Source organism: Homo sapiens, chromosome 5 (assembly GCF_000001405.40).
Source record: "Homo sapiens chromosome 5, GRCh38.p14 Primary Assembly".
Lineage (NCBI taxonomy): Eukaryota > Metazoa > Chordata > Mammalia > Primates > Hominidae > Homo > Homo sapiens.
In genome coordinates this window covers 57,631,156-57,641,961 of record NC_000005.10, presented here as the reverse complement: position 1 = coordinate 57,641,961, position 10,806 = coordinate 57,631,156, and positions in this window count along the sequence as shown.

Genomic DNA, 10,806 nt, shown 5'->3' with positions numbered 1-10,806 from the left:
TTTCCAATAAGTGACTGCCTGGTGCAAATGACATGGTCCTGTTCTGGAATCACAGGATCTATATTGCACTTCTTCCCCTGGGGCTTCCATAATCCCCAGGCATCTCTGTCACCAAAGACATCTCTAACTCAAGAGGTTCTGCAGTGTATAAGGTCAATAAGGCAGTGCTGCTGGAACCACATGCTGCACCTGCTGCCAAGCACTGTTCTTCTATAAGTACTACTCAAATCCACTCCCAAAAATGGAATACATTGACTCCAGAACCCAAGGAAGCCTATCAAGTATTGTGCCTCCTTCTTAGTGTAGGAGACATGAAATGTGATTTTTTAAAATTATTATTTTGATTTTGAAGGGGATGTCTTGTCAGAAAACCCCCATTACCCCTTGAAAACTAGAACACCACAAAGAAGGTAGGGTACAGGAGGCACAGCCAAAGCAATGACTTCCTGCCTGAAAGTATCTGGGCACACATGCTTGTGATCAAATTATTCAAACACAGAAAAAATCTGCCCTAGAAGATCTCAAATTTTTATCCCTACTATTCAGCATCTGCAAACACACTTTGAAACCAATCTGTAGTCCATTAAAGGAAGCCTGCACACTATCTCTCCTCCACCCCATAATTCCATTATGGCCATGGAATTGCCCTGGACTCTTACACAAGCTGAGTAGGACTAGGAAGTAGCATGATGTGGGAGCACCATACTCTGAAATACCGAACACTTAAAATATCAAATTCTAGACTGCCTGCACCTCCTACCTCAATACACCTTCCCTCCATACCACCCCCATCATGAAACCAGAGTTGGGAGACAAAGGCTGAGGAAGGAAAAATGGAATACTTTGTGAGTTAGAACAGTGTTTAATATTTTAACAATTTCCGGTTGCATGGGGTTGAAGAGAAAAAAAGAACTAACTTAAGCTGCTAGGTGTTTGGGACCTGCCTGAGAATTTGACATATGATTTGTGTACTCTATTTTGGAAGCTACTTTAAAGAGAGGAATACCTTTATCCAGGCTGGGATTTCACATGATACCATATATGAAGAACTCAGGAATGTGCCCTTATCATCAGTGGTTAAAGAAGGAAGAGAAGAAGGATGATGGAGAAGAGGAGTTCAGAGACATAATATTTAATTTCCTACCTCTTCTTTGGGTACCTTGCTTATGTAAGAAGGTATATCCCAGTCTGACAGCTAAAACCAGAAATAGCCTTTCCTTCACCACCTGTTGATGGTTGCCAAGCTGCTGAGGAAATACATACTCTTGCATATTATACAAATTCGGCAGTCCTCAGGTCCCTCTAGTCAAGTTAGCATCAAACCTTTCTTCTCTGTCATCCAGCTGTTCTTGATGAAAAGACTTGTAATTTTGAAGTGGTAGGAAGGGGACACCCCTCTCATATCAGTCTACCCCCATGCTTCCCTCTCCAGGCACCAAGGCTCAACCCTTAACTCCCACTTACTGCTGACTTCATTGTTGCCAAGTTAGATGAAAGAAAAAGGAAAGGAGGATAAGCCCCATTCTGACACCACTTTAAGGTCTTTCTGCCTCTCTCATCCAAACACAGAAAGGAAAGAAGGGAGAAAGGAAGGAGGCGCATGGAAGTTGGGGGCAGAGGAAGGAAGAGAAGAAAAACTTCACCTTTCCTTTTATCCCGAAATTGGCTCCTCACCCCCTCAGGCTTCTTCACAGCCAGTCTTGCTCCTTTTCTCATCACAAAGCTGTTATTCCAGCATTTCCTCCCTAAGTTCCTGCCCCTTTCCTCCCAGAGCCAGACTTTTCCTGAAGCATCTGCTCTTTCAAAACTGCAACCCTTTCTAACAGTAAATTTGAGCTGGGGAAGTCCAAACTTCTCAGCTCTAATGAAAGGTAGGAAGAAGATCCTGCAAATGGAGAGGGGATACTACTTCAAATGCTGTTCTGTGTGATGATAGAGTGTTATGGAAACATGAGAACCAATTCCCAGCTATGTCATAGCTAAAATCATTTGTGGGGACAGTAATGGTGGTGGACTGTGAACCATGCAATGATGGTAATCACCATGCACAGTGTCCTGCTTTGGCCAAATGTGCTCTAAGCTCCAAAGTAATATGTGCACCAAATGTAAAATGCAACAGAACATAGTAACACCACAAGGATTATAATAAAACCACTGGTCTCCAGCTCTATTCCTTTCTACCTTGACTCAAGCCCAGGAAGCACTTTCAGCTGCTTTAACTTCTTTCTTTAGTATAATAATTACTTCCATATTAATAATGACTATGATGTTGCTGAATTTGTCAATTTAGACATTATCTTTTGACTTCTCACTTTAGAAGATAAGCATTTGATAGTTTTCCTCTCCCCATCCCATCTCAGACATAGACATATACACATTCTCTCTGTGTCTTTTCAATATAATGTTATCACAGGTTTGTTATTGTTGAAGCCATCTTCAGTTTATACATTATATACAAATGCATATATTTATAGGTAATAATACCTAAATATTATTAATATCTGAGCCTAGTAGTGTAGAATGACTATATTTCCTTTCTTGTACAATTGCCTTTTTTCTGAAGTTATTAATTGCCTCATATTTTTGTTGTTATTGACTTGCTTTTCTGTATATCTATCATTATAATATCCCCAAATTCTCTGCCAAAAATATGATTCTTTTCAGTATATTCAGACATGTCAGACATTCTATGAGTTTCTTCTTTTACTTGGAGAGACATTCTTTCTGGAAACTTCTATCCTGCTTCTTCAATCTGGAACAGTTGCTCTCTAGACTTGCTGCACAGCTGCCATTCAAAACTTCTCTCCACCAACATCCTGGAGACTTTCTTAGCCTCTTTATTGTACTGCATACTCCTTGCTTAGATAAAAAATTTCTGTCTTTGTTTATTCAGCTGTTTTGGTGGAGTATATGCTCAAATAGCTTTCTGAGAAAGGGTACATTGGAGGCACATTTCTTAAGGCTTTGCATATGTAAAAATGAATTTATTTTAACCTTTATACTTGATTGATAGATTGGTTAGATGTAGTGTCCTATCTGGAATAAGACTAGAAAACATTTTCCCTCTAAATTTTAAAGGCATTTTTCCATTGGCGTTTTGTTTCCAGCATTGCCATAAAGAGGTCAATACCGTTATTCATTGTCCTTGGTGTGTGATCTATTCCCCGTTTCTATTTTATCAAAAATATTTTACTTCTCTTTTCCTCCAATTCCCTGAAATGATATGCTGTATTGTAAATTACTTTTTATTCATTGGTCTAAGTATACCATAAGACCTTTTTGATATAAAGGCTCATATTTATCTGCTCTTCTAAATTAACTTAATTATTTCTTTAAAAGTTTGGGTTTTTTCTTCACATTTTTAAAAATTCTAATTCATTAGATGATAGACAATCAGGATTTATCTAATATTCTGACCATTTCTCTATTTGTTCTCCCTTCTGGGAAACATTTTCAAATTTACCTATCAACACTTCTACTGAATTGTTTGAGCCATGTGTTAGTGAGTTCTTGAGATGCTATAAAGGAAAACCTTAGACTGGGTAAATTATAAACAAAAAATGTTTAATTGGCTCATGGTTCACAGACGGCAACAGCATCTACTGGGTTTCTGAGACCACAGGGAGCTTTTACTTGTGGCAGAAGGTGAAGTGGGAGCAGGCATGTCACATGGCAAAAACAGGAGCAAGAGAGAAGAAGGAAGATGCTACACACTTTTAAACAACCAGATCTTGCAAGAATTCACTCACTGCATGACACTATTGCAGGGACAGCACCAAGTGGATAGTGCTAAACCATTCATGAGAAATCCAACCCCATGATCCAAAAACCTCCCACTGGGGTCGACCTCCGCCACTGGAGATTATAATTCAACATGAGATTTAGAGGAGACAACATTCAAAGTATATCAAGCCACTATTTTTTTTTAATTTAAAAGTGTTCTTTTCTATTCCTGAATATTCCTTTTTATAGCCTACTGTTCCTGTTCCATAGATGCAATATCTTTGCTTATCTCTTGGATATTAATTGAAAAATTAAGTGTTTTTTCTTCTGTTCTATGTTTCCTTCTTTTTAAATTTGTTTTGATTCGTTTGCTTTGTACTTTGACATGCATATTCGAGATGTTCCTCTACTACCTAATATTCTTGGCTGTTCATTCATATTTAAGCTGTAAGTCTTTAAGGACTAATACTCATACCTTGCCCAGCTCCCCTGAAATGTCTTTTTACTGATTTTGGGGGGTGGGTGGTTTCCTGTGTGAAGGGTGAAGCTACCTTGTGTGGAACTTTGTCTGAGATTACACCCTTGCTTGGCTTCCTCAGCTTCCTCGGCCTTCTTTCCCAACTTCCTTACTTGTCTCCCATAAGAATACTTCCTTCTTAAACTGCTTGCATACAAGCTCTTGTCCCAAAATCTGCTTCAAGGGGAACCCATCTCATGACAAACTTCAATACTCGTTGGCCAGTCTCTGTACATAGCACCAACATAGTAGATGTTCAATCTATATTTGATAAATGAATGTTTTGCAATAAAATTTAAGAAATGGAAGGCCATTTCATTGAAGTTAATAAATTTTCTCTTTTATATAGATATTTGATGTTGATACAGCAAACACATGAAAAATGTTTGCCAGAGAACTTCAAAGTTATATGCTTCTGAAGAGGAGGATGTGGAAAAACTGTCAAAACCTAGTTGGTTATTGCATGAAAATCAGAGTAATAAATGTTGTCAAAAATTGGCAGACAGAAAAATTCTAAAGTATCTGAATATAACTGAATAGAACATCAGAAAGCTAAAATTAGTTTCCCCTTAATAAATGTCATAACATTGAGCATTCCCATATATTAAATTTTCTGTTACATAAATTTGAAATTTCTGGGAAATTTTTAAAAACACACCATCGTGGGTTCTCTGAATAAATGCATATATACACACACCACCCAGCACATTCACATTCTCTTCAGAATTAAGCAAAACACCATAGAAAAAAAAAATACTTGAGAGTTTACAGAAGCAATTTACAGTTGATTTAAATAGGCTGTCAATAAGTACCCAAAACTTATATGGGTCAATTCTAGCATTTTAGAAAAACGGCTGATCATCCTTAGCCCTGGCTTGAGAGATACCAATTGGAGGGTATGACCAAATGGATCAGAAAGAGCCAAAATAAGTTTTAGATGTACTTTGGAAAAGGTGTAAAAAACAGCATGTTGGTTTTGTTCAAATTTACAGAACGGACTCTAACCATCTAATAAATGGCTTCTATACAAGTAGATGGAAAATAAAATGCCTATACTCCAAAGACAACCACTAAGGAGTGAAGATCAGGGAAGTAGAAGTTATGATTTCTGATTTTTCTGGTGGGTCTGAGAGGGCCAAGGCCTTTGCCATGACTACCAGTGCCTGCAGGATCCCTTATTATGCAATGCAAACTAGAAGAGCTCCTATAATCAGGGCAAAGCTGTGCCCCTTTTTTGATTGGGAATGTAATGTAATTAGGATCTGTGTCAGATCCTAAAGTGTTGCTTCCCAAACAACCAGGTAAGACTGGTACCAAACCTGCCTCAGCCTATTGTCTTCACCAAGCTTATATCCTGAGTCCAGGCCCACACCTGCGTCCTTCTGCCCATCCTAGACCCTCAGCCATTGACCACTGTATGAAAGTAAAGCCTAGCATGCTGGACCTATCTAGTCACCATAACGCCTCATTCCTTCTACTGCCAGTCTGGACCAACTGGTTATGATGAGTTCCTTCTCTATGCTCTGTCCTTGCACCCCATTTTGTCCCATGTTACTGCTAAAATATTAGGAATTATCATGAATTTTAAAGTCTTTTATCTTGAACAAGAAACAATTGTTTTCAAGGAATGGACACTATTCAAATTAGCTTAATTAAAAATAGTAAGATCTTCTGGAAGGACATAGGTATTTCACGGTACTCAAAGCAGGTAATACGATAGGGCCTCAGGAAAGATTAGAATGAGTGAGAGGAAACAAAAGAAGCTTCACTCTCCAGGTCCATGGGCCTGAATGTCCTTTTCTTTCTGCTCCCAACTTCTCTTGTTTTGGTCAACTTTAGTGGAGCCAGGACCATCTTCATATGGCGTCTCAACTTTTTGGTTCTTTGAAGCATGAATTTGAATTTGGTGGGAAGCAGTGATGAGCATCTCCAATATGTCTCACACTCTGAGACCCGGGTCTCAGATGAGTCATTCTAGAAAATTATTTTTCATAGCGCTGAGATTTTATATAAAGCCTAAATTATGTACTGTTGACATCATATTATTGAAAATCTTTTAAACATGTATTTTAAGCTTGCCTCCCTTTCTAATCAGTGTGCTATAGACAACTAAACCTTTCTCTTATGACTCATGCATCCTTATAACCACCACATATTGTATAATACATTCTACAACACAGAGACAGCCTCCAATCCCTTTGAGGCCTTTGGGGCTATTTTCACCCACAAAATAATGGCACAGATTGTTACATTTTGGGGTTGTCTGTTGTCAACAGCTTCCAGTGCGTATTTCTAAAAGCCCCTCTTCTCATGTTTAATTTACTGCTGTTACAATCCTTGTGGCTCTGCAAATTAAATCACTCAGTCTATTTGTTACAGCCCATTAGCTTGCAAGGAACAGTCATGCACTCAGGATCCTCAGTTAATGGAGGGTGATATAAAAATACACAAAATATTTAAGAAGCCTTAGCATTCACAAAGCCAGCCCCCATGAGGAACTAAAACATTGTCCAGGGCACACAGACAGCTCTTCTGACCCACTTATCCTATTCTCTATGGAGGAGGCAGAATGAGAGTTCATAGAGTGGATGGGATAAAACTGGATCCCTAGTGCAATCATCACCAGGTAAAAGAATTTGGAGGCTGGGCACAGTGGCTCACACCTGTAATCCCAGCACTCTGGGAGGCCAAGGCGGGTGGATCACAAGGTCAGGAGTTCAAGACCAGCCTGGCCAAGATGGTGAAATCCCATCTCTACTAAAAATAAAAAAATTAGCCGGGCGTGGTCATGGGTGCTTGTAATCCCAGCTACTCAGGAGGCTGTGGCAGAGAATTGCTTGAACTCGCGAGGCGGAGGTTGCAGTGAGCCGAGATCACGCCACTGCACTCCAGCCTGGGTGACAGAACGAGACTCCGTCTCAAAAAAAAAAAAAAAAAAAAGGACTTGGAACATGTTCAGAGGTAGCCTGCCATAGTTGAATGATATATCCTGTTGAATTTTAATGTGCACATAAATTATCTGGGGCTCTTATTAAAATACAGATTCTAATTCATGAAGTATGGATGAAGCCTGAGTGTCTGCATGGCCAACAAGCTCCCAGGTGATGCCTATGATCCCATCCCGGTGGCAAGGCTGTTGAGTATGTTCAGTAGTCACCTGTCGGAGTGATAAATACTACCTGTGCCTCACATCCATTTTGAGGTCTTAAAGTGCAGCTTCACAGACTGGATCAGGCCTCTGTGGACTACGCAGATGCTGGATAGGCCCCCAGGACAGTCAAGATGATATCAGTGGCTTCTTCAGCTACTGAATATCCTTTTAGGCCTCTCCCTAAAACTCAGAACTCATGCTTTTAAAGTGAAATCATGTGTTTGCCATGCCAATAGAAAGTGAGCTAGGGGAAGCACATATACATGCGATCCAAGGAGCGAGCCAGTGCGCCAACAGTCCATGCCTTCAGCAATTGGCCTTCACCGCCTGAACTCCCACAATCTCCTCCTCATTGTCTTCCTTACTCTGTTTTTCCCTTTCACTTTCTTATTACCACCCGCCCGCTCCCTCTTTCTTTTTTCTGTGGTTCTGATTGCACATGGCTTCTATCGCTCCCCATTTTTCTGCTAACATTTGTCTCTTTAAGTGAATCTGGGCTGCTACAACCCTTCTGTCCCTGTCCCTCTCTGTGCCGCTCACTTTCAAACTCCCCAACACAGAGAATTTGACTGTGCATGTTAATCACTAACCAGTCTAGGGCCATTCCACCTGAACATAGATATCGCACCAGACCACCTCATAAGTCATTGCACCTCTGTGGATAGCTGCCTTTGCCTCCAGTTCTGCTCTCTAAATAACATCTAACTAGATGTGATTGATGTCAAATAGCATCTTAGAAAGAGCTCAGGTTTGGAAGATAGAAGGCCTGGTTTGATAACCTGCTTATGCCATTTATAATACTCTGAGCCTTTGGGCAAGTTATTGAACATTTCTGGGTCCCTACTTATTCACTTACAGAAGGAAATAATAATAGTTATTATCGCTGCAAGAAGTAAAAGAGAATATTCACCTAAAGCACTGATGGTTTTTTGATGCATCAACTGGTTAGGCTGAACTACAGACTCCAGTTATTCATTCCAACACTAATCTAGGGAGATCATCCTGTGAGGGCCTGAACTAATTAGTCGAAAGGGAAATTATCCTGGGTGTGTGGACTTAATCAGTTGGAAGACCTTCAAACAGAACTTAGGCTTTCTCTGGTGAGACAAAGAGAGAAACTCCTACCTGGATAAGAGCTTTCGCTCATGCTGGTGGATTCTAGCCTGCTCATAATTTTCCCTTCCTGACCACTTGCCCTGTGAACTTGGGGCTGGCTTAGCTAGCCCCCAGAATTATGACAACCAATTCCTTGAAATAAATTTGTGTGTGTGTGTGTGTGTTGTGTGTGCATATGTGTGTGTGTAACATTTATATACTCTCCTACAGGTTCTGCTTGTCTGGTTGAATGTTGACTGATGATATAAGCACTTAGAACAGGGCCTGGAGCATATAGTTATGTGCTCAAAGGATTTCACTCATTGTTATTATTAACTATGCATAAGATGACACTGGCAGCTACTCCTCTGAAGCACTGGGTTGTGGGTGTGGTGAGTTCCCAGGATATCCCATCTTGAGCTATACATTCGACTTCTTAAAGTGGTAGAGTAAAAAATAAAAAAAGAAAATTGGCCCTCAGAAGGAAGACCAGAGGGCCTATCTATTAATAAAACCCATTATATTTTGTGCCTCTTTACTTCTTGGTTCTTGAGCTTGTTTAGGATAGAGAAGATAGCTAGATAATAACAGTGGTGCTACTATATTTTAAAAGTTGATGTCAACAATTATTTAACATATGTGTCAGTTATTTAAAGTTATTGAGATTGCTCCGAGTGGATAGTTGTAGAAGAACAAAATCAGAAGTGGAATCTTCAGATTCCACCTGATTCCACTTGTGCCAGACTTTTTTTGTTTTCTCTGCACCGGCACTCCTAACCCCTTTCTTCTGTCATTAGTACCTGCTATGAGGGAATTCTCTCTCCACATTTCATGCAGTGGGAGATGGCTGGGGACAATGAGGCTTCACATGCAGCCAAAAGGGTGAGCACAAGAGTGAACTCCAGCAGTCACTCTATGATATCTCCCTGGACAGAGTGCACACATGGTGGATACATGACTAAACGGAGTCAGATAAGAATCCTTTCTTTAGATGTCCTATGTGGACCCTGGGGAAAATAGAATCCCTCTCCTAAGTCATGAGCCATGAGGATGCAAGCTTATGATTACCTGTAGCCATCTCCTATGCCACATACAGAGAGCTAGCTCAAGGACAAAGAAATAAGTTGGGGAAACAGAGATAAGAAAATAGAATAGCATGGTCTGTTGACTACAACATTTGAGTGCCAGGATCCAGCCATATCTGAAACTGGGTCCTCCTTTATTAGTTATCTACTGCTGCATAACAAATTACCCAAAACTTAATAACTTAAAATGGCAGTGGGTTACTTCTCACAGTTTCTGAGGGTCAGAAATCTAGGAGTGGCTTAGCTGGGTGGCTCTAGTGCAGGGTTTTTCATGCACTGTGGTAAAGTTATAGAAGGCTACAGTCATCTGAAGATTATATGAGATTGCAGGATAAGGTCTCAGTTCATTGCCATGTGGGTCTTTCCACAGGGCTCTCTGAGTATCTTCATGACATGAGTCCCCAAGAGTGAGTGATCTGAGACCGAGAGCAAGCAAGAAGTCACAGAGCCATTTATGACCTAGTCTCCCAAAGTCACACACTGTACTTCCACTGTATTGTATTCGCTGGAACTGAATCACTAAATCCAGCCCACAGTCAAGGACAGGAGAATTCGTTTCAATGTAGACATTTAAAACCACTACACAGAAAACTGGCTGGCCATATGTAAAAGCTGAAACTGGATCCCTTCCTTACACCTTATACAAAAATTAATTCAAGATGGATTAAAGACTTACATGTTAGACTTAAAACCATAAAAACCCTAGAAGAAAACCTAGGCATTTCCATTCAGGACATAGGCATGGGCAAGGACTTCATGTCTAAAACACCAAAAGCAATGGCAACAAAAGCCAAAATTGACAAATGGGATCTAATTAAACTAAAGAGCTTCTTTAAACTAAAGAAACCACCATCAGAGTGATCAGGCAACCTACAGAATGGGAGAAAATTTTTGGAACCTACTTACCTGACAAAGGGCTAATATCCAGAATCTACAATGAACTCAAACAAATTTACAAGAAAAAAACAAACAACCCCATCAACAAGTGGGTGAAGCATATGAACAGACACTTCCCAAAAGAAGACATGTATGCAGCCAAAAAACACATGAAAAAATGCTCATCATCACTGGCCATCAGAGAAATGCAAATCAAAACCACAGTGAGATACCATCTCACACCACTTAGAATGGTGATCATTAAAAAGTCAGGAAACAACAGGTGCTGGAGAGGATGTGGAGAAATAGGAACACTTTTACACTGTTGGTGGGACTGTAAACTAGTTCAACCATTGTGG